Source organism: Homo sapiens, chromosome 8 (assembly GCF_000001405.40).
Source record: "Homo sapiens chromosome 8, GRCh38.p14 Primary Assembly".
Lineage (NCBI taxonomy): Eukaryota > Metazoa > Chordata > Mammalia > Primates > Hominidae > Homo > Homo sapiens.
In genome coordinates, this window is record NC_000008.11 from 121135528 (window position 1) to 121162604 (window position 27077).

Sequence of the window (27077 nt, forward strand, 5' to 3'; positions counted from 1 at the left end):
TTTTTTAAAGAGAAAATAAATGCATGAGTTATTTTGCCAACATTTTGGAATCGGAAGATTTTTAAATATAAAAATCTGAACTTTTATTTAGAAATTAGAAAATCAAGCAACACCAGTCACATGATTTGTGGGGCCCAATAAATAGCACCCCTGTTTTCCTCACTTGAGTTTACGAATAGACTAAAAAATTAGAGAAAAAAATGATTAAGGCCGGTGAAGATCAAAATATCTCATTTACTATGGACAAAGTCTAAGACAAAAGACATGGCTTAAATGAGCAGAAACAATGGGATTCTTAATACCAAATCCCAGAAATAGGCTTCTTCAGCCAGTCACAGGCAACACCAAACAACTGCAGGCCTTCTTATGTGGCCTGATTCTGTAACACATACCGCATAGAGGAGCAGACAGGTAAATGCCAGAGAGAAAGAGCAAGAAAAAGGCTGGGATATGAAGTCCAGGTCCTCCTCTTAACTTGAGAGGCCCGATCCTTCACTTATCTCTGGGTAGGAGTGGATGAGAGCATGGAGAGAGGCTAGTGTGTCCCTCTATTTAAAGAAAAAGGAAAAGAGGTTTCCTCCCTACCCTTGATCTACATTCCCTCTGTGACAGTCACTCCTGGCTCTGCCGTCATTGAGTGCAAGTTCTCTTCACCACATCCAGTCCCCACTACTCATTATTACATTTTAGCCAGCATGCTTCTCTCACTTACATGACCTGCCTTGCCTCTCTAGTATTTGCTTGCACCGTTATTATTGCCAGGTGTTGTAAAGGTGGCCATCACACCACACAGCAGGTTAGTGAAGCAAAGTGGTTCCAGCTTCAACTTCTTGTTGCTAATGGATCCAAGAGGTAGAGAATAGAGGCTGTTTGTGGCCTTCAGTACAGGCAGCTGAAATGGACTGAGCAGAGCAAGAGTATGTGAGAGTAACTACATTTCAAACTCAAAACCCACCCATGTTAGAATAATTAACTTTGCTGGAAATGGGAGCTATAAGCATATTGGAGAAACATACAACTTTAAGCAAAACAGAATTGAGAAGAAGAAGGAGAAATAAATTGGAAGACTCAAAGGCTCATAGCCCTGTTTACTTGCCTCTGATTGCCCTTACCTCACTGCATTCCAGTGGTCTTCACATTTATCTCATCCATGATTGCATTCCTTATGGCCTGCAAACAAAAGACACTCAATCAATTTTTATTAAACACACAAAAAGTCACGAAAAATGTCTTAAGGAAGAGGCTGTTTGGGGTAAGTACTAAAGACATGTCTTATCAGTCAGGAGGCTATTGTTGATATTGTACAGAGAGGGCAGAAGTACTCCCTTCAGAACATAGTAAGTTTTGAACAAGCTTCAATTCCTTTGAGAAAGCTTCAATTCCTTCGAGCAAGCTTCAATTCCTTCATAAAATTTTCCCTGATCTTTCTACAATCTAAGCCCAAAGAGCATTGATCAAACCCTCATCTATCATCTATGACACCATTGTTGCTTACACCTTATGAATATTTATCATGTTGTAAAATGTACTATAATAGACTAAATGATGATTTAGATATTAGAAACAAACATACTCCTTTTTAAAAAATTTATGTTTAAGAGGAGGGAGATGAATAATACACAAACAGATGAGCATAGACAACATGGCAGGTTGTTACAAATGCATTAAGGCAGTGCTGTAGACTGAATGTATACTCTCGAAATTCATATGTTGAAAATCTTACCTCCAGTGTGTTGGTATTAGGAAGTGGGGCCATTGGGAGGTTATTAGTTCATAAGGGTAGAAACTTCATATGAGATTAGCGTTCCTATAAAAGGGAATCCAGAGAGCTTCCTTGTCCATTCCATGAGGAGACAGTGAAAAGACAGTCATCTGTGAACTAGGATGCAGGCCCCCATCAGACACTGAATTTGCCAATCCCTTGATTTCCCAGCCTCCGGAACTGTGGGAAATCTATTTTTGTTCTTTATAAGTAACCCAGTGTATGGTTCTGTGATAGCATCTCAAACAGACTGAGAGAGGCAGCATAAAAGAAGATATCAGACAGAAAAATAGTATTCTGACTTGCTCTGGATAACCTGTTGAATACAGGTGTTAGGAAAAAATGATTGGAAGCTGATATGGTTTGGCTCTGTCTCCCCACCCAAATCTCATCTTGAATTGTACTCCCATAATTCCCACATGTTGTGGGAGGGACCTGGTGGGAGATAATTGAATCATGGGGGCAGTTTCCCTCATACCATGGTTTGATAAGGGGAAACTCTTTTTGCTTGGCTCTCATTCTCTCTCTTGCTGTCGCCATCTGAGACATGTCTTTCATCTTCTGCCATGATTGTGAGGCCTCCCCAGCCATGTGGAACTCTAAGTCCAATAAACCTCTCTTTCTTTTGTAAATTGCCCAGTCTCAGGTATGTCTTTATCAGAAACATGAAAACAGACTAATCCAGTAAATCGGTACCAGCAGAGTGGTGTGTTGCTGAAAAGATACCTGAAAATGTGGAAGTGACTTTGGAACTGGGTAAAGGCAGAGGTTGGAACAGTTTGGAAGGCTCAGAAGAAGACAGGGAAATGTAGGAAAGTTTGGAACTTCCTAGAGACTTGTTGAATGGCTTTGACCCAAAGCCTGATAGTGATATGGACAATAAGGTCCAGGTGGAGGTGGTCTCAGATGGAGATGTGGAACCTGTTGGGAACTGGAGCAAAGGTGACTCTTGTTATATTTTAGCAAAGAGACTGGTGGCAGTTTGCAAGTAATTTGTGGAACTTTGAATTTGAGAGAGATGATTTAGGGTATCTGGCAGAAGAAATTTCTAAGCAGCAAAGCATTCGAGAGGTGACTTGGTTGCTGTTAGAGGCATTCAGTTTTGTAAAGGAAGCAGAGCATAAAAGCCTGGAAAATTTGCAACCTGACAATGCAATAGAAAAGAAAATTCCATTGTCTGAGGAAAAATTCAAGCTGGTGGCAGAAATTTGCATAAGTAACAAGGAGCTGAATGTTAAACCCCAAGACAATGGGGAAAATGTCCCCAGGGCATGTCAGAGGTCTTCACTGCAGCCCCTCCCATCACAGGCCGAGAGGCCTAGGAGAAATGGTTTCATGGGCTGGGCCCAGGGTCCCCGGGCTGTGTGCAGCCTAGAGACTTGGTGCCCTGTGTCCCAGCCACTCCAGTTGTGGCTGAAAGGGGCCATGGAGCCCAGGCCGTGGCCTCAGAGGTTGCAAGCCTCAAGTCTTGACAGCTTCCATGTGGTGTTGAGCCTGTGAGTGCACAGAAGTCAAGAACTGGAATTTGGGAACCTCCTTCTATATTTCAGAAGATATATGGAAACGCAGAAGGCCACCATCCTCCAGACCCCAGAATGGTAGATCCACTGATGGCTTACACCTTTCACCTGGAAAAGTTGCAGACACTCAACATCAGCCTGTGAAAGCAGCTGGGAGGGAGGCTGTACCTTGCAAAGCCACAGGGGTGGAGCTGCCCAAGACCATGGGAACTTACATCAGTGTGACCTGGATATGAGACATGGAGTCAAAGGAAATCATTTTGGAACTTTAAGATTTAACTGCCCTGCTGGATTTCAGACTTGCCTGGGCCTGTAGCCCCTTTGTTTCAGCCAATTCCTCCCATCTGGATTGGCTGTATTTACCCAATGCCTGTACCCCCATTGTATCCACAAAGTAATTAACTTTCTTTTGGTTTTATAGGCTCATAGGTGGAGGGGACTTGCCTTGTGTCAGATGAAACTTTGGACTGTGGATTTTTGGGTTAATGCTGAAATGAGTTAAGACTTTGGGGGACTGTTGGGAAGCCATGATTGGTTTTGAAATGTGAGGACGTGAGATTTGGAAGGGGTCAGGGGTGGAATGTTATGGTCTGGCTCTGTGTCTGGACCCAAATCTCACCTTAAATTGTACTCCCATAATTGCCACATGTTGTGGGAGGGACTTGTTTGAGATAATTGAATCATGGAAGTGATTTCCCCCACACTATTCTCATGATAGTGAATAAGCCGCATGAGATCCGATGGTTTGATAAGGGGACACCCGTTTTGCTTGGCTCTCATTCTCTCTCTTGCTGCCGTCATGTGAGACATGCCTTTTACCTTCTGCCATGATTGTGACGCCTCCCCAACCATGTGGAAGTGTAAGTCCAATAAACCTCTTTTCTTTTGTGAATTGCCCAGTCTCAGGCATGTCTTTATCAGCAGCATGAAAATGGACTAATACAGAAGCTGAGTAGGAAACTGTTACGAACAATGATGGTGGCTTGGACCATGCAGATAGTAGTGGATATGGGTGAGAAATTGTTGAATTTTTTAATATGTATATTTTTTGATGAACATAAGATTTGCTGATGGTTTGAATATGGTTTATGAGAAGCAGAAGATGGTCAAGGATCCTAAGATATTTAGTCTGATTATATGATTGAGTGGAGTGCTCTATTACTAGGTGGACAAAGAATGTGGCTGGAGTGAGTTTGGGTGAAAGGAAATACTATTTTATCCATGAAATCTAGCACAGTATTTGACACAAAGGATATATTCATTTATTTTCTTAATGTTTGATGAATGAACAAATTACTTGAAAACATAAAATTTTTATTTCTTGTATTCCACAATAATATAAGTTCCAGTGGAGACATAGATTTTTCTTTGTTATCACTGAATCCTCAGCATCCAGAAAAAGCCAGGACAAAATGTTGAATGAACAGATTCTTGTTCTGTTCTTCCTACTGATACTTCTGGTCTCTGTATCTGGTTCTGGTTAGTCTGGAGGAAATATAAAAGCAAATTAAAATGTATTTTTGGCATTTTTTTCTTGTCACTTAATTGAAGAAAATTTGCTTTGGAAAAAAAAATTGATATTTCTTCTCTCCACTTGATAGTTGTTAACACTGGCAAATGTAACAGTTTCATATATCAAAACCTCTCCCTGAACTCTTGATCATTACGTGTCTTTTTTTCCATTTTGCTAGAATTTCATTTAAAAAGTCACTAGAATGTCAGGGAATGCTTCCAGGCACTCAACTGTGTTCTTGCAGTTTAAAATAACAAATTGCTAGCTCTGTATTTAAATCTTATTATGATGCTAAACAAATGATTTATTGAACTGATTCTAATTTTCTGTAGTTTAAAAATCACTTTTAAGCATCCATCTTTGTCCTGGACAGTTGCCAAAGCTAGCAAATGCATCTCAGCTGGGGAACAAGTTGCCACTTCTTCCTTCAGATCCTCTTTCACACAGGAGACCTGGCTCACGCATGGCCAGGACCTAAAAGTCAAACCTGTCCTTGAGTCTTCCTTTTGTTGTAAGGCCGATCTTACTAAATTGCCTTTTTCAGAACACACAAGCTGTGAAAATAAGTTTTGGAAATTGTAGTATACTCCCCCTGAGCGATTAGTAATGTATTTCAATTCCCTGTAGTTAAAAGAAATCAACTTTAAACCCAGAGCTTCCCCAAGTCATGTAACTACAGAATGCTTTCATAATGCAACATCATTAATAAATTCTGAGAAACAGATAGTCATAAAATTCAGGTTTGTGAATGCCCTTCTAGAGACAAAATTCTGGTTTGTGAATGCCCTTCTAGACACTTAATGCCCTTCTAGAGAGCTGAGACTATAGAAGACCCTTCTTTCTCATTAGCTCAAGGTTTTGGAACTCCTTCATTTTATTCACTCTCCCCTGGGGAAAATGAGAACTCTAGATTCTCTTGTACTGAGAATTCTACCATCTACAAAATGGAATAGGGGGAAAGAAACATTGGTTTAAAAAATAGAAAGTTAAAATTTTTTCTTATTTCTGTCATTTGCTACTTATGTGATTTTGGGGCAAATGTTTTATATTATCTGAACCTCGGTTTTCACATTTTAAAAACTGGGAATGGACTGGGCGCGGTGGCTCACACCTGTAATACCAGAACTTCAGGAGGCCGAGGCGGGCAGATCATGAGGTCAGGAGATTGAGACCATCCTGGCTAACATGGTGAAACCCTGTCTCTACTAAAAATACAAAAAATTAGCTGAGCGTGGGGGCGGGTGCCTGTAGTCCCAGCTACTCCAGAGGCTGAGTCAGGAGAATGGCGTGAACCCGGGAGGTGGAACTGGCAGTGAGCGGAGATCACACCACTGCACTCCAGCCTGGGTGACAGAGCCAGACTCTGTCTCAAAAAAAAAAAAAAAAGCAAAAAAACAAAAAAACTGGGAATGGTAAACTATACCCTACTCACCACACATGAAAATTCAGTGTATACCATATACAAAAATTAACTCAAGATGAATTAAAGACTTAAATGTAAAACCCCAAACTATAAAAACCCTGGAAGACAACCTAGGCAATACCATCCTGGACACGGGAATGGGCAGAGATTTCATGACAAGGCACCAAAAACAATTGCAACTAAAGCAAAAATTGACAAGTGGGATCTAATTAAATTTTAGAGCTTCTACACAGCAAAAGAAACTATCAACAGAGTAAACAGACAACCTTCCAAATGGGAGAAAATATTTGCAAACTCTGCATCTGACAAAGGTCCAATATTCAGCATCTATTAAGAACTTAAACAAATTTACAAGAGAAAAACAAAGAACACCATTAAAAAGTGGGCAAAGAACATGAACAGACACTTTTCAGAAGAAGACATACATGCAGCCTACAAGCATATGAAAAAAAGCTCAATATCACTGATCATTAGAGAATGCAAATCAAAACCAAAATGAGATACTATCTCACATCAGTCAGAATGGCTATTATTAAAAAGTCAAAAAATGACAGATGCTGGTGAGGTTGTATAGAAAAGGGAACATTTATACACTGATGGGAATGTAAATTAGTTCAGCCACTAGGGAAACAGTTTGGCACTTTCTTAAAGAACTCGAAGCAGAACTACCATTTGACCCAGCAACCTCATTATTGGGTATATATCTGAAGGAATATAAATCATTCTACAATAAAGACACATGCATGTGTATGTTCATTGCAACACTATTCACAATAGCAAAGACATGGAATCAACCTAATGCCCATAAATGACAGAATGGATAAAGAAAATGTGGTACACATACACCATGGAATACTATGCAGCCATGAAAAATAAGATTATGTCTTTTGTGGGAACATGGATGGAGATGGAGGCTATCATCCTCAGCAAACTAATGCGGGAACAGAAAACCAAATACCACATATTCTTACTTATAAGTGCAAGCTAAATAATGAGAACTTATGAATGCAAAGAAGGAAACAACAAATACTGGGGTCTAATGGAAGGTAGAGGATAGGAGAAAGGAGAGGAACAGAAAAGATAACTATTGGGTACTGGGATTAATACCTGGATGACAAAATTATCTGTATAACAAACCCCCATGACATGAATTTACCTATGCAACAAACCTTCACATGTACTCCCAAACCTAAATTTAAAACATTAAAAAAATTAAGTGTATACTAGAGAAATCTATAAACTGCTAAAGATTAAACTCAATTATAAAATTTCCGGAAAGGTTTTCACTTGTTAAAAAAAATTATTTATGACACTTGTTAAAGGTGGTAAGGCAGATTTTATTCAAAGGGTGTAATGGCCATAGATGTAGGAACTTCTACAAAAGTGTCTTGCAATGGGAGAGACAGATTGGGCTCATTTCTGACTCCAACAAGAACAAGTGGAGATTGGTAACCAAGTTGCAGGGTGGAGGTCAATGGTAAGAAAATTTCTAAAATGAAACATCAAGTGCAAGTGGTTTGTGGCTAAACTTACTTGATGCGATTATTGCAACATCAGGTTTCTGTTACACTCCATAAAGAATGTTCTAAACCAAACCCCACTCCCAAGCTAGATTACATGATTCCATGAAACTGTTTTTCCCCTTCTATCTAGTATTCAATTAAATATCTTTTATAATTTATTTTTCAATGTCTGTTTGTCTCTCTAGCCTTTACCTGTGTAAAGGTAGGTATGTCCAGGGCATGGTATGTAATGGGTAGAAACTAAATAAAATACTCAAAACTGTCTTTGCAAAAATTGTAACAGTGAGAGAATTATAGAAGTGGAAGAGATCTCATCTAGCCCACCCCATCTTGCCTTTAACCTCCAAACTGCCCTTAATCATTCCTGGCCTTGTTCCAAGCTAACTTTGGGAGAAATTTAGTTTATAGTTTAAATAATAGCCCTTCCCTCAAACTAAAACACCTTTGTAAAGCTAACGAAAGACCACCAGGTTAGGAGAATGAGGGGACCTGAATTCTGCTAAGGTGTAGAAGTAATTACCAGCCATTATGCCAGAGGTCACAAGATTTGCAATTTCCCCAATTACTCCTGCAGATAACATCACTATTGCAGAATTTAAGATAGGCCTTTTGAGATGTCTTTTCAGGTTTTTGCATTTCTGACTACCAATGGCTCCACCCAGACCCACTAATTGGTCCTATCACCCTATCCAGAAGCAGACTCAGAGCATGCAAAGGCCGATTTTCATACCCCTTTGATTGTATTCCCAACCAATCAGCGGCACCCATTCCCTAGCCTTCCACACTATACTTGAAAAACTCTAGCCTCTGAATTTTCAGGGAGGCTGATTTGAGTTATAATAAAATTCCAGTCTTTGGTTCAGCTGGCTCTGTGAGACTTAATATCTTTCTGTATTGCAATCCCCTGTCTTGATAAACTGGCTCTATCTGGGCAGCAGGCAAAATGAAACTATCAGGTCATTACATATGCATTGATTAAAAACAAAGGAAAACTTTGAGCACAATCTCTTGGCAACATCTATCATTCACATATTCCTTAATTATTTCTCATCCAGCTATCCTCTTCTGTGACAATATCCTGCCTAGTTTTACACACGTTATGTGTGGTTTTCTTTTGTTGTATTATGTGCAAGCTTGCAGCATCAGGCCTGGCACATGGGGGGTGCTCTATAATGATAGATTCAGTTTCTTTATTTTTAAATAATGGTAAAAGATAAATTTAGCCACATTAAAATTTTCAAGAGTTTATTTGACTAGACAGCAATTCATGAATTGGGCAGTTCCAATTTGACCTCAGGTGGTTTGGGGCTCCACTGAAGAGGTGTGAGGGGAACATTTTTATAAGGTTTTCACAGAAGCAAGACAAAGAAAATGTGTGATTGGTTAAGGTAGGACAGTAGTTTTAAATCTCTAGTTACAAGTTATATTAGTCAGGGTTCTCCAGAGGGACAGAACTAATAGGATAGATGTATATATAAAGGGGAGTTTATTAAGGAGTATTGACTCACCTGATCACAAGGTCCCATAATAGGCTGTCTGCAAGCTGAGGAGCAAGGAAGCGAGTCTGAGCCCAAAAGCTGAAGAACTTGGAGTCCAATGTTCAAGGGCAGGAAGCATCCAGCACGGGAGAAAGATGTAGGCTGGGAGGCTAAGCCAGTCAAGTGTTTTCACGTTCTTCTGCCTGCTTTTATTCTGGCCATGCTGGCAGCTGATTAGATTGTGCCCACCCAGATTAAGGGTGGGTCTGCCTTCTGCAGTCCACTAACTCAAGTGTTAACCTCCTTTGGCAACACCCTCACAGACACACCCAGGAACAAACTTTGCATCCTTCAATCCAATCAAGTTTGACACTCAGTATTTACCATCAAAGAGGTTAATTGGCAGTTTCTGATTGGTTAAACTTAAGTTTTGTTTTCCTAGGCTATCACAATTCTTTCTGAGTTGGGTTTTGGTTTACTTATGTAGAAACTCAGGATGCTGGAGTACCTACAATCTAATGACCTCCCAATGAGTTATTTTAACAATTCTGATACACAGAATGTTTAGATCTTCTGGGATTTGAGTGCTGCTGAGTTATTTAAAGGTCCCTGAGTTTTTCCCAGGGAGGCAAAAGTAGCCTCCACAGTTGTAGCTGGATGTGGAGTCACAGACTTTGAGAGAAGATTCAATGACCAGGTCAGGAGATGTTCTCTTGTAAATTATAGGCAGCGTTGCTGACTTCTGTAGAGCTGTGAATGCCACAAGGCAGCTTAGAGATTCCTCTGGACATGGAACTAGGCAGCATGGCTTCAAAAGAGCTTTAGGCAAGGCAGTGAGTGACCCTTGGAAGGCCCCCTGACACAATTTGCTAACATAATTTATTTCAGCAGCAGGAGGTATGTGGGTACTCTTGAGATATCTATGCCAAAATCTTACACATTGTTTGAAATAAAAGAAACTTTATGAGTCATTCAGTCCTGAGATTGCAAACTGGCAGCCTGTCAGCCTGTGGGCAAGGATTGGACACACAGAAGGGTTTTGTTTGTCCTTTATGGTATTTTAAGAATTGCTTAGGGCCGGGTGTGGTAGCTCATACCTGTAATCTCAGCACTTTGGGAGGTCAAAGCAGGAGGATCGCTTGAGCCCAGGAGTTTGAGACTAGCCTGGGCAAGATGGTGAGACCTCATTTCTACAAAAAATACAAAAAATAACTTGATGTGGTGGCAGGCACACCACTCAGGACACCAAGGTGGGAGGATCTTTTGAGCCCGGAAGATTGAGGCTGGAATGAGCCATGATCATGCCATTAACTCCAGCCTGGGTAATAGAATGAGACCCTGTTGATATTGTTTGACTGACTCCCCACCCAGATCTCATCTTGAATTGTAGCTCCCATAATTCCCACATGTTGTGGGAAGGACCTGGTAGGAGGTAATTGAATTGGAGGGGGTGGGTCTTTTCCATGATGCTCTCATGTTAGTGAATAAGTCTCAACAGATCCAATGGTTTTATAAATGGGACTGCCCCTGCACAAGCTCTTCTCGCCTGCTACCATGTAAGAATTCTCTTTGCTCTTCCTTTGTCTTCCACCATGATTGTGAGGCCTCCCCAGCAATGTGGAATTGTGAGTTCATTAAGCCTCTTTCCTTTATAAATTACCCAATCTTGGGTATGTCTTTATTAGCAGCATGAGAACAGAGTAATATACCTGTCTCAAAAAAGAAAAATAATTAGTATCATATAAGAATACAGATGGCCACCCTTTCTTGAAAAATTAGAACAGATTTTGTTGTCATATGGCAGCAGTAGGCCACCGATGAGAGTCCTCGCCTCCTGTAGACAGGTGTCTCATGCCCTGGTGGAATACTTGGAACCCAATCAGTTCTTTTTATTTTCTGACCCTTTTTCTAATCCAACCACTTTATTTCATAGAAGAGGAAACTATCCCTTTTCTAGCAATAGTTGTGGGGGCAGAGACAAAGATGAGATGAATTGGTCAAAGTAACACAGCAAACTAGGGGCAGAGTTGGGCCTGCAATCCAAGCCCATTGCTCTTTCTATTATGTCATATTGTGAGCATCCCTGTTAAGTATCTACTGTAATAAGGATGGAATAGCAAAATGCTCCCACTCAGTTATTTCTCCAGGAGATTAAATACCATTCTCAAGGTCATGCTGTTTATAAATGGATAAAAGTAACTGGTCTTTTAATTATTTCTACATTGCACATAGTATCAAATAGTGCCAAGAAATAGTAGTCAGAAATTGAATTCAGTTAGATTGAATACTCTGTGTAAAGGTGTTTTTTTTTTTTTTAATATCACAAAAGCTTTCTCCCTGTTCATTCTTTTCATTTGGTTATATTGAATCCAGACACACACATTAACCAGATGAGCAGAGTTATACGTTGTTTTCACAGGAAATCTTCCCTTCCTCCTTCAGTTTACCTAAAAGGATGGGAAGCTGGGAAGGGCATTTGCCAGTGTATATACACACATTGATGTATATATTTATTCAGCACACATATCCATACATATATATGTCTGTGAAACAATATGTGCTAGCTTCAGCATCTGGCTTTCTGTGAAGTCTTGACCTCTGCTCCCTTACAGCTGGGTTGGCTCAGAGTTTACAGCAAGACTTGCAAGACTCCCTGAAGAACATATGTTTCTCAGCAGTCCCCTGTTCTCTATCCATTTTTTTGCGGGGGGAGTTGCAAAAGATTACCACCTAGGACCTCGTACTAGTAGCCCTGCTTCCCTGAAGAATTTCTCATGGCTTAAGGAATTGTCTACTAAAGACAGAGTTGGTGTGAAAAATCATGCTGTATAATCCCCCTGTCTCCCCCTCCCTCCCCAGCTCACCCACAAAACCACTGGCAATATTTTACTTTTTAACTGCTTGTGCTCTTGTTTGTAGGAAGCTACAAAGCTCACTCTTACCCAAAGTCAGCAACCCTTTTTACATGCTTTTTCAGGTACCCGGCAAAGCAAATGGGTTGGTGACTTTGGGCAAGAGAGAGCTTTTTAGCTTCCTTGTTTCAAAGTAGCAGACAAATAAAATCAGTGGTAGTGCAAGATGCTCAGATCTGTCTTCAGTACTTGGCCCTATCACTTCCATAAGCTCTGTCTTTACAGATCTGGATTTGGCTTGGATTTGGGGAGGTCCATTCCCATTTAAAATGGTCTGCCAGCTTTACTTGTTATAGCTCCTACACACAGGTGGGAATTAGACAGCAATGAAAAAGAAAAGGGTGCTATGATTCGTTTTCTGTTTTTGTTTTAGGGGAACATTGTGTACTTGATGTTCTAAGGGCCTACATGATAATATAATGTTTAAAAATTAAAATGCATATTTAAGACAGTGTGCTTTAGAAAGGCACAGCTGGGCCTGGTTTTATAAAAGAGTTTTTATAAAAGGTTTTATAGAAGAGTTTTTATAAAAGCTTTTATAGAAGAGTTTTTATAAAAGGTTTTATAGAAGAGTTTTTATAAAAGGTTTTATAAAAGAGTTAAATTCCTGTAACATTGCTGGACGAGGTTGGATTCTACCAGCTGAAAGCCAGGTCATAATGGCAAGGGAAGGGAAGTTAGTTCATCAATTCACATCCACAGCTTGTTGGATTCCTCACATTTAAACTATCTCCTTCCTCTACTCCTCCAGTCTTTCCTATCTCAGTAAAACACTTGGAGGGTTCCTTAATTTCTGTTTCTCTCAGAAACCATAATGATTTATAAAAATTTCCAATTGGCTTTCTCTGCAAAATATAAACAGACTCCAGTAACTTCTAATGAATATTTCCACTCTACCTGCCTGTTACCACAAGTCTGAAGAAAGAGTGAGAAAGGAGTAAGAAACAGTATTTAGCCTGGACCTCTTATGATCACACCCTAACTGCTCTTGTTTTGAAGTTCCTTGCTTAAAATATGTTCTTGAAACAGTAGCTAGAGGGATTCTTTTAAAGTATAAGGCAGATCATGAAGTCTTTGCCAATGCCTGTGTCCTGAATGGTATTGCCTAGGTTTTCTTCTAGAGTTTTTATGGTTTTGGGTTTTACACTTCAGTGTTTAATCCGTCTTGAGTTAGTTTTTGTATAAGGTGTAAGGAAGGGGTCCATTTTCTGTCTTCTGCATATGGCTAGACAGTTTCCCCAGCACCATTTATTAAATAGGGAATCCTTTCCCCATTGCTTGTTTTCATCAGATCTATCAAAGATCAGATGGTTGTAGAAGTGTGGTGTTATTTCTGAGATCTCTATTGTGTTCCATTGGTCTATATATCTGTTTTGGTACCAGTTCCATTCTGTTTTGATTACTGTAGCCTTGTAGTATAGTTTGAAGACAGGTAGCATGATGCCTCCAGCTTTGTTCTTTTTGCTTAGGATTGTCTTAGCTATACGGGCTCCTTTTTGGCTCCATATGAAATTTAAAGTAGTTTTTTCAAATTCTGCCCAGAGAGTCAATGGTAGCTTAACAGGAGTAGCATTGAATCTAAATTACTTTGGGCAGTATGGCCATTTTCACAATATTGATTCTTACTGTCCATGAGCATGGAATTTTTTTTCCATTTGTTTGTGTCCTCTTTTATTTCCTTGAGCAGTGGTTTGTAGCTCTCCTTGAAAAGGTCCTTCAAGTTATATTATTATGTATTTTATCCTCTTTGCAGCAATTGTGAATGGGAGTTCACTCATAATTTGGCTTTCTGCTTGCCTATTGTTGGTGTAAAGGAATGCTTGTGATTTTTGCACATTGATTTTGTATCCTGAGACTGCTAAAGTTGCTTATCAGCTTAAGGAGTTTTGGGGCTGAGACTATGGGGTTTTCTAAATATACAATCATGTAATCTGCAAACAGAGACAATTTGACTTCCTCTCTTCCTATTTGAATACACTTTATTTCTTTCTCTTGCCTGATTGCCCTGGCCAGAACTTCCAATATTATGTTGAATAGGAGTGGTGAGAGAGGGCATCCTTGTCTTGTGGCAGTTTTCAAAGGGAATGCTTCCAGCTTTTGCCCATTCAGTATGATATTGGTTATGTGTTTGTCATAAGTAGACCTAATGACTAAAACACCAAAAGCAATTGCAACAAAAGCCAAAATTGGCAAATGGGATCTAATTAAACTAAGCAGCTTCTGCCCAGCAAAAGAAACTATCAGCAGAGTGAACAGGCAACTTACACAATGGGAGAAAATTTTTGCAATCCACCCATCTGACAAAGGTCTAATATCCAGAATCTACAAGGAACTTAAACAAATTTACAAGAAAAAAACAACCCCATCAAAAAGTGGGCAAAGGATATGAACAGACACTTCTCAAAAGAAGACATGTTTGCGGCCAACAAACATATGAAAAAAAGCTCATAATCACTGGTCATTAGAGAAATGCAAATCAAAACCACAATGAGATACCATCTCACACCAGTTAGAATGGCGATCATTAAAAAGTCAGGAAACAACAGACGCTGGCAAGGCTGTGGGAAAATAAGAACACTTTTACAGTGTTGGTGGGAGTGTAAATTAGTTCAACCACTGTGGAAGACAGTGTGGTGATTCCTCAAGGATTTAGAACTAGAAATACCATTTGACACAGCAATCCCAATACTGGGTATATACCCAAAGGATTGTAAATCATTCTACTATAAAGACACATGCACACACATGTTTATTGTGGAACTATTTACAATAGCAAAGACTTATAACCCGCCTAAATGCTCATCAGTGATAGACTGGGTAAAGAAAATGTGGCACATATACACCATGGAATACTATACAGCCATAAAAAAGAATGAGTTCATGCCCTTTGCAGGGACATGGATGAAGCTGGAAGCCATCATTCTCAGCCAACTAACACAAGAACAGAAAACCAGACACGCATGTTCTCACTCATAAGTGGAAGTTAAACAATGAGAACACATGGACACAGGGAGGGGAACATCACACATTGGGGCCTGTTGGTGGGTGGGGGGCAAGGGGAGGGAGAGCATTAGCAGAAATACCTAGTGCATGTGGGGCTTAAAACCTAGATGACAGGTTGATAGGTGCAGCAAACCACCATGGTACATGTATACCTATGCAACAAACCTGCATATTCTGTACATGTATCCCAGAACTGAAAGTAAAAGTAAGTATAAGGCAGATCATGCTGTCTTCTATTCTGCACCCTTTTCTGGTTTCCCATATCACTCAGTGCAAAAATCCAAGTCCAAGTCATGGCTTACACGGTTGTAGGTGACTGAGCCCCCATTTCTTCTTTCCTTTCTCCTCCCAGATGTCAGAAGGACTTCCTCTTTTACTTCATTCTTGTCACTGCTAAAATACCACCTTATCAGAAAGATCATCCCTGACCCACCAACATTAGTTCACCCTGCCCTAGCTCTGCATAGCTCCGTCTCTGCCTTATTTTGTTTACATAGCACTAACCACCTCACCATCTGATATATATTCACTAGCCTACTTGTTTACCTTTTTTTTCTTCTCACCAGAAAGTATTTCTTATGAAAAGAGAAATTTGTTTCATTCACTGCTTTATACCTGGTTCCTTACATACTGACTGGTTCATAGTAGTTGCTTAATAGATAAGTATCAAATGGATAAACGAATTGGATAGGCTGAGACAGGTAATTCGGGGCTCACAGCCAAGGCAGATTTAATGGGAGAATATGCAGGATCCCCCTTAGCTCAGGTTTGGAGAATAAAAAAGTGGACTAAATGGCTGAAGCTGAGACCTGGAGAGGTTAAAACTGTTAAAGTAGGACCAATTTAAGTTACCAATTCAAGAACTGCAAGGTAGTACCCAGAATATAGATTAAAACTCACATGATGTTGAGCTGACTTTTATTGGGTACTTATTATTCACTTGTATTGATTTTCTTGGGCTGCCGTAACAAATTACCACAAACTTCATGCCTTAGAACAACCGTTTATTCTCTCACAGTTCTGGAGGCCAGAAATCTGAAACCACGGTGTTAGCAGGACCACACTCCTTCTGGAGGCTCCAGGGAAGAATTCTTACTTGTCTTTTCCAGCTTCTGGTGGTCCTTGGTGTTCTTTGAGTTGTGTCAGGATAGCTCCGATCTCCACCTCTATTTTATACGGCCTTCTCTCCTTCTCTGTGTGTCCTCTCCTCTTCTTATAAGGACAGCAGTCACTGGGTTTAAGGCCCATCTTAAGCCACTATGATTTCATCTTAATTGTACCTGCAAAGAGCTTGTTTCCAAATAAGGTCACATTCTGAAGTTATAGGTGGAAACAAATTCTTAGGGAAACACTGTTCAAACCACTGTAGTATTCAAACCCTTTTGGGTTTAAATTCTCATAACAACTCTCTAAGATACTTACTATTATTATTATTATTATTAACTTATTTTTTCAGATGAAGTTTCACTCTTGTTGCCCAGGCTGGAGTGCAATGGTGTGATCTTGGCTCACTGCAACCTCTGCCTCCTGGGTTCAAGCGATTCTCCTTCTTCAGCCTCCTGAGTAGCTGGGATGACAGGCATCTGCCACTGTCCTCGGCTAATTTTTTGTATTTTTAGTAGAGACGGGGTTTCACCATGTTGGCCAGGCTGGTCTTGAACTCCTGACCTCGGGTGATCCACTCACCTCGGCCTCCCAGAGTGCTGGGATTACAGGCGTGAGCCACTGCACCCGGCTGATACTTACTATCATTATTGTGGATACGCACAAATATTATTGGCAATATTTTACAGATATACAAAACTGAGACTCAGATAACTTAATTGCCTAAGGTCATATAGCTTAGTAAGTATATTCAAATGCAAGTACAGTATATCTAACTCTACCCATCTAGTTTAATGTTTTAACTATCCCATGCTGACTCCAATCCTCACCACGTATCTGCTCAGAATAACTTATTCACTGTATAAATTTATTTGTAGTAAGAATACATGAAAATTATACCCTATCATGTTTCTGTTTCTGGATACTTTAAATAATGTGCACTGTAACTACAAGCAATATTTTTCATGATTTCCCCCGTGAAATACACTGCAACTTCCCAGCCTGGGAATGCATTTACTTGTGTAATCTAAATTTTCTCCTTGGTTTGCATTCTCTTTTACCAAACCCCAGGCCTAGAATTTATCATTAGTGGAAAGCCACCTAGTCAACAAGGGGGTTTAAGAGTTTAAGTCGTTGTTTTGTTTTCCCTTTCTAGGAATTTAAGCACAAAATTAGACCTTTAAATTTTCTGAGCTGGTATCTATTTCTTTCTACAGCTTCTCTCTTCTCTTCCCTTCTACCTCTTCTTCCTCTGGCCTGGCTCCACCTCCTCCTCCTCCTCCTCTCCTTCACACTGTCTCTTTCCTCATTCCTCCAGTTTTCTTTCTTCTCTCTCTCCCTTTCATCCCAGCCCCCATAATCTCTCTTTATCTCTGTCCCCTATCCCTCCAGCCTTTCTTAATCATTTTGATATTTGTCAAGGCCGTACCAGGAAAGCAAATATAAGCTACCTTTTTACAAAGCAGGGAAGATGTGAAGCCATAGAAAGTGAGATGTCATTATACTAAATGGACTTTAAAACAAGCAGGTAAATGCCTTAGCAGCGTCAGCGGAGCATGTGAAACTCCCCCAGGTGGGCTACAAGAAGAAATTGTGCCTTGGACCAGTTCATGGCAGAAAGAAATAAAAGAGAGAGTATGTATCTGCTATGAAAACACTCTCTGGGTTTACAAGGCTGGGAACTTTGGGAAACAGAATTGTCATAAAAGTAATCTGCCACCATGGCAATAGATTTCAGTGATGATGGGGGAGCGTGAGAACATAGGAACATATGTACATGTCAGTGGTTCCTATCAACAAGGATTTTATGTAAACATCATGTGAATTTCTAGACATACCCAATGGCGGGTAAAACAAGTGCTTTTACACGACCTCAGGGTTAGGGTCATTCACACATGTTCTGGCTGCAGGCACAACACTCGGCTCATATATTAATCTACTAGGAGGAGGGCTGCTGATTTTCCAGCTGGAGCTGCTACTTCTAGAAAGGTTATGACAGTATCACATCTTGGATTGGAGGGCTCCATTTTTAAAGACTGACTGGGGCTTATCTACCGCTGTGAGGAAGAGACTGTGGAGTAGGAACTTGGGCCTTTGAAGGAAACCCATCAGAAAGAAGTGTGTATCCAGGTAAATTCATCTGTGATGACCCTAGACAAATCTTCATCTTATCTTCTGTTATGGTGCTGATAGTTCATTTGCATTTTTGTTTTTCTTTTATTTTAATTGGAGTTTGTTTACTGACACTGGGCATCTAACATTAATCCCATTCAGCCTGGACACCTATAGCTTCCCACACATCTGTGCTTGCTTTTGCTGTTGAGAACATTTATCCTGAGCTTTAGCAACAGCTTAATTCAAGGCTGGATATCTGAATGTGCTATAAAATCAAAACAGGATCCTCCAAGTTAAAACATACGCAATGTTAATCCACCACTCCTTGAAACGTTCCCCCTTGCTGCTATCTGTTTAGCACGGTAAAGCTTGATTATCTTAAACCAAACAAACTAAACTGTTAATTGCCTAGATTTTTTTTTCATATTATCTGAAAAAAGCCAAACCAAGCAAATAAATTAATTTTGGATTTATTTTAAAAAATTAGGATGGACCTTGGGACCTGTTTACATGAAGCTCAAATATTTACATCTTTTTCGTAAATAATTTGGGGTCACATACTTCAAAATTACTGATATTCAGAAAACACCAAAATAAAACTTCAAGCCTTAAAGGAGGGAAAAAATGTACTGCAGTTTATTGCTTAAGGCAGGAAGTTCAATGACTCATTATTTAAACAAAGGAAGAAAGATTATTATCTAAAATAAATTGAGAAAAAGGTTTTCTAGTTAGTCCTTTATTGACTGGGAAATATAGATAATGGGAACTTTTCATTGTAGAGTATTTTGTTCAAATATTACTCTATCCCATCATCCTGAAGCTGATTACATTCAGATTTAGCTCATACTTTAAGAGCATTTCCAATGTCAGGTTCTGAGCTAGGTGCTTTCAACTCTGTTATGTATTAATCCTGAGAACAACTTTGAGAGGCAGCCACTGGATGGAGAAGCACAAATTCAAACATGGTATCTGATGACACAGTTTAAAGACAACTGGTCTTAAAGTTAGAAAAACTTGATTCCAGTCCCATGTAGACTACTTACAGCCTATGAATGTGTGGGTGATATTTCAACCTCTCCCTGTCTCAGTTTCCTTGTCTGTAAATTCAAGGGGGAAATATTGTTTGCAAATCTATCTTTTAGAGTTGTTTGGGGATTAAATGTAAATAAATATAAATTAATAGGTAAGGGATTATAAATAACACATTTTTCTTACAAAAGTGAGTTGATTTTAACTTATTCCTCTATCTTCCTTTCCCAAAGGCAGCCAGTCATCTTAGATAAAAGCAGTTCCCTCTTTTCCCCGGTATTATCAGCACTGCAGATGAACAAGAATGGAGCATAGAGGGCACTCGGCAGGAAAAGCCAATACTGAGATGAAAATAGATTGGATGCTGATCTATTTTAAGATTATGTGTCTATATTGGCTCTACATTATTCCCTATCTAAAGAATCCTTCAAAGATAAACTCAAGCCTTATATCTAACAAACTGCAGCTCTGGGGCCCTGATTTGCACCCACTCTAAAGAGGGACCTAGATCCTTTAGGTCTGTGTAAAATGAAGTGCTCAATGCATTTAAAGGAGCAATATGCACAACAGCTGCAGCACAGACTCACAGCACTTACTGTGTGCCAGAACAAGTCCTGACCCGTGTAACCCTCACAACAGCCTTCTGAGGTAGCTTCTATTATGATGCCCATTCTACTTTGCAAACCAAAAGTAAAATGCAAAGGTCGCCCTTCAGCCATCTAAATGGACTCCCTCCTCTCAACCAGGACACTCCAAATTTAACCTGAAAGACTGGTTCAGATTGTGGAGGGCAGTGGGAGGTCGGATGTGCCTTATTATACCCTCCTTCCTTTTGGAATTCAGGAAAAGCCGCAAAGCCTTTCACATCAACACAGACCTTAATTCTGTTAAGAAACATTTACAATCTATTCTCTCTAAGGCCTGCTACCTGGAGGCTTCATCTGCATGATAAAATTTGGTCTCTACAACCCCTTATCACAACCCAGACATTCCTTTCTATTGATAATAGTTCTTTCAACCAATTGCCAATCAGAAGATTTTAAAATCTACCTACCCACAACCCAAACACCTCCCATGAGGCCCCACCTTTCAACACTGCAGCATTGGAGATTAAATTTCAGCATGAACTTTGATGGGGACAAACTAGCCATATGCAAACCATAGCAGGATAGTCAAGTTTGATGCAGACACACAAGACACAAAAATTAATTCAAGATGGAACATAGACTTAAGCATAACAGCTAAAACTGCATAGCTTCTAGAAGCAAAAATAAATATCTTCACAAACTCAGGATAGGCAAAGATGTTATGAAGCGAACATAAAAAGTACTAACCAGGAAAGTAATAAAATTAATGAATTAGACTTTATTAAATTAAAATCTTCTTATCAGAAGACACCAATAAGAAAATAAATAAGCCACAGATTTGGAGAAAATATTAATAAAACATATGTGACAAAGGACTTTTCATATCAAAAATACTTCTAAAACTCAATAATAAAAAGACAAATAGCTCACATAGACACAACATATATGTGCGTATATATGTATATATATCAGCAGAAGACTTCAACAGATATGTCACAAACATCTATATAATAAATATGTAATATAATAGATTATATGTATATGCGTGTGAATATGTGTGTGTATGAATGACTAATAAACACATAAAAAAGTATTCAGCATAAATATTTACAAGGGAAAGGCAATTTAAAATCACAATGAGATACGTACCCACTAAAATGGCTAAAATAAAAAAGATTATCAAAGCCAATCCTGTCATATGTATGGAACAACAGATACACTCATATATTGCTGGGGGAAAGAAAACAAATAATATTGGTTTTTGCCATTACTTTTAATGGGAAAAACTGCAGTTAGTTTTGCACCAACCTAATATGACCACTTTGGAAAACTGTTCAGTAGTTTGTTTAAAAAGCAGTTTACTGGCCGGGCTCGGTGGCTCACGCCTGTAATCCCAGCACTTTGGGAGGCCGAGGCGGGCGGAGATCCAGACCATTCCGGCTAACACGGTGAAATCCCGTCTCTACTAAAAATACAAAAAATTAGCCGGGCATGGTGGCAGGTGCCTGTAGTCCCAGCTACTCTGGAGGCTGAGGAAGGAGAATGGCGCGAACCCGGGAGGCGGAGCTTGCAGTGAGCTAAGATCGCACCACTGCACTCCAGCTTGGGCGACAGAGCGAGACTCCGTCTCAAAAACAAAAAACAAAAAACAAAAAACAAAAAACAGCAGTTTACTTTAGCAGTTAAATGTACATCTACTAGTGTGGCAGCAAATCAACTTCTGAGTATTCAAGAGACATAATACGTCTACAGAACCTTGTACAAGACTTTTCATAGCAGCATTATTCATAATGCCCAATCAGTCGATCTAGAGGAAAATGGATAAACAAACTGTAAAATATTCATGTAATGGAAAACTACTTAGCAATAAGACAGAACTTCTATTACGTGAATCTCAAAAACATGCTAAGTGAAAGAAGCAAGATACAAAATGAGTAATTTCATACTTATGATTCCATTCTGATGAAATTCTGGAAGAGATGAAACTATTCCATGGTGCAGTGGCTGCTTTTGTGAGTGAATGGGAAGCAAGGGTGGGACTGCCTGGGAAGGGGCATGAGGTAACCCTCTAGGATGATGAAAATGCTCCATATTTTGATAGAGGTGTGGTGTCTACATTTACCAAAACTGATGGAATTATACAGTTAAGACTTGTGTATTTTGACTTTATGTAAATTATACCTGAAATGATAGAGATATTGAGTTTAAGTAATTGCAGGCTTGTGCCAGGTTCTGAGAAGAGAGAGAAAGTGTGTGTGTGTGTGCGCGCACACACGCGTGCACGCTTATCTTGGCAACCGTGGGAGAATTATGGTGATTATAGAACCATGCCCATTTGGGGGAAGAGTGAAGAAAGATAAAAGCCACCAAATAAAACAATTCTCTTACTTTAGAATTTGTCCTAAACACCTAAAACACCTTAAAAACACAAAATGTTTTCACTAGGAATACATAAATATAATAATATTGGTTTTTACTTCAATCTAGATGCTTACCTAGCAAGTATATGAACGTCAGGTGTAGTAAACATGACTAGGTTTCCCTACATGATGGAGATTAATTGCTTTTCAATCATTTGAAAAATTTAAACATTCCAAATATAGCATCCTGGGCAAGCCCAAAATATCGATGCCATCTTGCTATCCTACAACCCCCAAAATAAAAATTCACAAAATATTTTTTGACATGAATGTAATCACAATCATGTAGAGATGCTAAAAAAAAGTTTCAATCAACTTGTCTGCTTTGGTGGCCTGAACAGGCATAACAGAGTTGGTGAAAACCCTAAGTGTCAATAAATTATGTTCTGAAAACCTTTTGATTTCTTCCCTTTAGAGTACTAAGATCTAGGGCTGGCTGTGGAATTATTGCTGTGCTTGCATTGATGTTGGTGGTTTACCATTAGTGGAAGCATTCACATTTCTGTGGGTAGACTTAGAGAGAGGATGGCAACAGACAGTGTGTGGTTAGTAAAACAAAGCCAAATGCTGTTCAGTGGAAATCCAAGCATAACCAAAATAGGTCCTTCTACAGAGAAAGTGAGTTTTTAAGCCTCAGCTGTTATATTTAGTTGATTCTGCAAGATATCAAGGAATAATGCTTGTATATATTTAACTGTGGTGAACATTTGTGGCATTTTTTTCTGGCTGAAGAGATAACTTTTTTGGTACTTGCTTACCAGTATTATGAGCTCAATTAACTGTGGGTTCTGGTTGTGGAATCGGAATGTTGGTAGGACAGGAATTTTCAATGAGAAGCAGTCATTCAGAGCAAATATTAGGTAAGAAAGTTTACACATTGATTGATTGATTTTGGCAGCCAAAAGACCATGATGAATATTATTCATTGCTTGATTATTGTCAGTTCATGGCATTATGCATTTGGACCATGTCTGCAATGGAAAATTGAAGAAAATATAATTAGAGCTAATTCTGAGTACGTTGGTGATGTCTCTGTAAAACTCTAACATTTATCCAGTGTTCACATTATGCCAGGCATAATAAATTCTGTATAATATTTGCTCTTCTTTGCAATACTCTATGTGCTTTATAAACTATATACATGTGAGAAAATGAAGGCTCAATTGGTTTATACCATGTTCTATATCTAGTAAGTGACAGATTGGGAATTTAACCCCAGGATTTTTGGTTCCCAAACTTATGAGACAATGGAAAGCAATTCACTGAAAACTGTAGCATGCTGACGGTAACTTGGTTGTTTGGCACACACACAAAACAACTATTGAGTTATTATAGTTATCATCAAAGAGCAATTTAACTACAGTAAGTGAAATGTACTTCAGTCTAAACAGATGAATCAACTATATCTTTTTGTCACCCATAACTATTAATTATTATAGCAATTGACCTTGGTACAACTTTTAAAAGTGTTTTTACAAACACTACATTCCCTTCTGAATATTAGCAATGCTGAGCTGAAAATAGGAGAGACATTATTATTTTCATATTATTTTCCCATTTTATGGATGAGGAAACTTAGGTTCAGAGAACTTTAGTAACTTCCCAAGGTCAAATAGCCAGTGAGCAGAAGTTAGAGGTGAAAATGAGTTGGTCCCACTATCCTCTTTCCAGGATGCCTCTTTGAGAAAATCACTATCTACAAAATCTCTAGCTGTTTCTTCCTCAGGGAGGGAGAACTACATTGATAATCCCCACATTACTGCTTTTGGTAGATCCAATGAACTCTAATCTCCAGGATACGCCCTTATCTCGCCTATTGTCAATAGTGGTAATGAAAAATAGGGGCTGTTTCTTGCATTCTTGAATTTGACTGTGGCAGAGCATTACGAAAGATCATTTTAGTTAACAATAAATATTCATTTGGATACAGTTAGCTCAGAAAATAACCAAACATTTCACAAATCTGGACATTGTTTAAAGGAATTAAGATGAGTTTATAGTTGTTCTTTAAAGACAATCGAGATAGTAACTATCCTAACCATCCTAACCAGTGAAAATAATTACTAGGAGATGTCTCCGGTGCTAGGAAATTATTTAAAGCTATTTTTATCCTGCAGTTTCATTTAGTGTTTCTCTATTGAGTGGATTATTTAAAACTGTCAGAGTTTGGTGAAACCCACTAGGCTTTTAAGAACCTTTTAATCATATAAATTGTAGATCACTACAGTTTGCCAGATTATAAAATAATTTTTAAAAAATCCTCAGGAGGCCGGGCGCGGTGGCTCAAGCCTCTAATCCCAGCACTTTGGCAGGCCGAGGCGGGCGGATCACGAGCTCAAGAGATCGAGACCATTCTGGCCAACATGGTGAAACCCCGTCTCCACTGAAAGTAAAAAAATTAGCTGGGCATGGTGGTGCTTGCCTGTAGTCCCAGCTACTCGGGAGGCTGAGGCAGGAGAATTGCTTGAACCTGGGAGGCGGAGATTACAGTGAGCCGAGTGCGCGCCACTGCACTCCAGCCTGGTGACAGAGTGAGACTCTGTCTCAAAACAAACAAACAAACAAACAAAAATCCTCAGGCAAGAGGACCCAAGATATGAAACCTTTGCCACTCCACTGCAAGAACTGGATATTATGCCAGAGACTCATTTTTAATAAAGCTCCCTTAGTTACCAATCACCAGTCAAATAATGAAGCTTCATTATCATACAAGCCAAATTGATTCCTTCCAAAGTGAAGGTCTTATTTTTTTCTCTGATTATTTATTCGCTTTGTAACCTGTCCTGAAGTTCATCTCATTATCCCCATCATTATTGAAACCACATATTGCTGATGGGCAAAAGAGTTACAAAGAAAGGAAAATAGAGAATAGATTACTTGGAACGTAAAATAATATTTGGTTTTGTCTGCTCCTCCCCTTTTTTTGGTTTCATATATAATGATCTTGTTGATTAGGTCATTTCCTAAAGGGAGATCAATTGATGCCAGAGATTCGTTAGAGATGTGGTAGCGCATTCAAGGACAAGAGGGTTTTTTCAAATGAAGAAATTGAGGACATAGGGAGGGCTAAGGAAAAGAGGAAGGGTACTGTTGATTAATGTAATGTTTCAAAGAAACCATCAAAGACCCAGAGCAACACATGGCTTAAGCACATTGATCAGCCATTGGTAGGCACATTGCTGAGAAAGAATTCAAATACTTCTTATCCTTTGTGGCAATCATTGTCTTATTTATTTTCCTTCTGGAGTAAATTAACTGATTCAAAACACATGTATTAATTACTCTAAATAATGCCACTTACTTCTTGGAGATTACAGTGTGCTGTGCTGTTTCCTCTGCAGCAGGGCTTCCCAACCTTGGCACCTTGGCTATCATCACAGGGCACCCTACCCTATTACCACAAAGGTATGAATGTATTCTGGGAAGAAAAAAAATCAATATCTAAACAACACAGGTTGTGATTCCTTTCAATGGCTTTAAAGAGTAGGGTTATCATTGCTTACAGATGAGGAAATTGAAATTCAGGGTCTAAGTAATTGACACCAAGTCACAAAGCTAGTAAATAGCTGAAACAAGATTAAAAATCAGGTCTGTTTGACATCAAAGCCTCTACTCTTTCCTGCGTGTCCCTTGTTTTTATATTATATATTTATAGAAGTTTCTAGTTTCCCATTTATTTGACCAATCTCAATCAATAAAAAGGTGTTTATTGAGGGCCAAAGTGAATGTACCATAAAGAAATCAGTAGATAGTTTCAGCTCAGAGGAATCCACATCCTACTTGGAGAGATAAAGTTAACCATGAAGAAATAAGAAAGTAGGATAAAATCCTAACTTGTATGATACATTTGGCCAAAAATCAAACAGCATGTATATTAAGTTACTGGTTGCATTGTAAAAAGAACCTAGAGAAAGGCAAGGCTGTTATAAATTAGCTGTATTAGACAAGATTATAGAAGTGGGAGTTGAGGAAATTAACACATACATTTTAAATTTAAATTTATGCTAAACAAGTTGTATTAGTTTCCTAGCGCTGTCATAACAAATAACGGAATTTATTCTCTCACAGTTCTGGAGGCCAAAATTCTAAGATCAGGGTTTCAGCAGGACCACCTGAGATCAAGACATCAATCAGCAGGAGTGCTTGATTTATAATTTTCTAGTCCAGAGGCTCCAGGAAAGTTCTGTTCTTTGCATCTTCCCGATTCTGATGGCTGTCAGTGTTCCCTGGCTTGTGGCCATGTCACTTTTATCTTTACCTCAGTCATCACATGGTCTCCTCTGTATGGGTTCATGGGTCAAATCTCCCTCTGCCTCACAATATAATAATGCTTATCATTGGAATTTGGAACTGCTCAGATAATCCAGGATGATCTCCTCATATCAGGATCTTCAACTTGCTATATCTGCAAAGACTCTTTTCAAACAAGGTAATATTCATAGGTTTCAGGAATTTGGACATGAATGTATCTGTTGGGGGCCACCAGTTAACTCATTACACAAGATTTGGTGTGCTTGTTAGCTTTGTCTTATAACACTTGATTTGTTTATTGGAGAAATACAACCCCCAGACTTGGAGGAAGATACACTACAGTCATTAAGTCCACAAATTCTGGGGTCAGAGAGTGAGTGAGTGAGTGAGTGACTCACAATTCTGACACATTCAAATCATGTGTAACTGGGTTATTA

At 39.2% G+C, this 27077-nt stretch overlaps 2 long non-coding RNA genes across 2 annotated transcripts, besides 4 other annotated features; both read right to left on the minus strand.

Moving 5' to 3' along the window:
* Positions 1 to 4521: 4521 nt before the first annotated feature.
* On the minus strand, positions 4522 to 9516 carry LOC124902010 (uncharacterized). Its single transcript, XR_007061080.1, has 2 exons — positions 9250 to 9516; positions 4522 to 4767 (listed from the first exon to the last, which is right to left on the minus strand). It is a non-coding gene; the product is annotated as an uncharacterized LOC124902010 (long non-coding RNA).
* Positions 10022 to 10316: a silencer, noted in NCBI's record as "tiled region #14891; HepG2 Repressive non-DNase unmatched - State 22:ReprW". NCBI's record gives its function as "represses a minimal TATA promoter and a strong SV40 promoter by Sharpr-MPRA in HepG2 cells {active_cell/tissue: HepG2}" and the evidence as "EXISTENCE:reporter gene assay evidence [ECO:0000049][PMID:27701403]".
* Positions 19491 to 20092: an enhancer, noted in NCBI's record as "OCT4-NANOG-H3K27ac hESC enhancer chr8:122167258-122167859 (GRCh37/hg19 assembly coordinates)". NCBI's record gives its function as "activates a minimal SCP1, AML or CMV promoter by ChIP-STARR-seq in primed H9 embryonic stem cells {active_cell/tissue: H9 hESC(primed)}" and the evidence as "EXISTENCE:reporter gene assay evidence [ECO:0000049][PMID:30033119]".
* Positions 20093 to 20693: an enhancer, noted in NCBI's record as "OCT4-NANOG-H3K27ac hESC enhancer chr8:122167860-122168460 (GRCh37/hg19 assembly coordinates)". NCBI's record gives its function as "activates a minimal SCP1, AML or CMV promoter by ChIP-STARR-seq in naive and primed H9 embryonic stem cells {active_cell/tissue: H9 hESC(naive and primed)}" and the evidence as "EXISTENCE:reporter gene assay evidence [ECO:0000049][PMID:30033119]".
* LOC105375731 (uncharacterized) lies at positions 20725 to 26798 on the minus strand. The gene is made up of 3 exons (XR_928596.3): positions 26456 to 26798; positions 25691 to 25807; positions 20725 to 23360 (listed from the first exon to the last, which is right to left on the minus strand). It is a non-coding gene; the product is annotated as an uncharacterized LOC105375731 (long non-coding RNA).
* Positions 21455 to 21986: an enhancer, noted in NCBI's record as "H3K4me1 hESC enhancer chr8:122169222-122169753 (GRCh37/hg19 assembly coordinates)". NCBI's record gives its function as "activates a minimal SCP1, AML or CMV promoter by ChIP-STARR-seq in naive H9 embryonic stem cells {active_cell/tissue: H9 hESC(naive)}" and the evidence as "EXISTENCE:reporter gene assay evidence [ECO:0000049][PMID:30033119]".
* Positions 26799 to 27077: the final 279 nt, after the last annotated feature.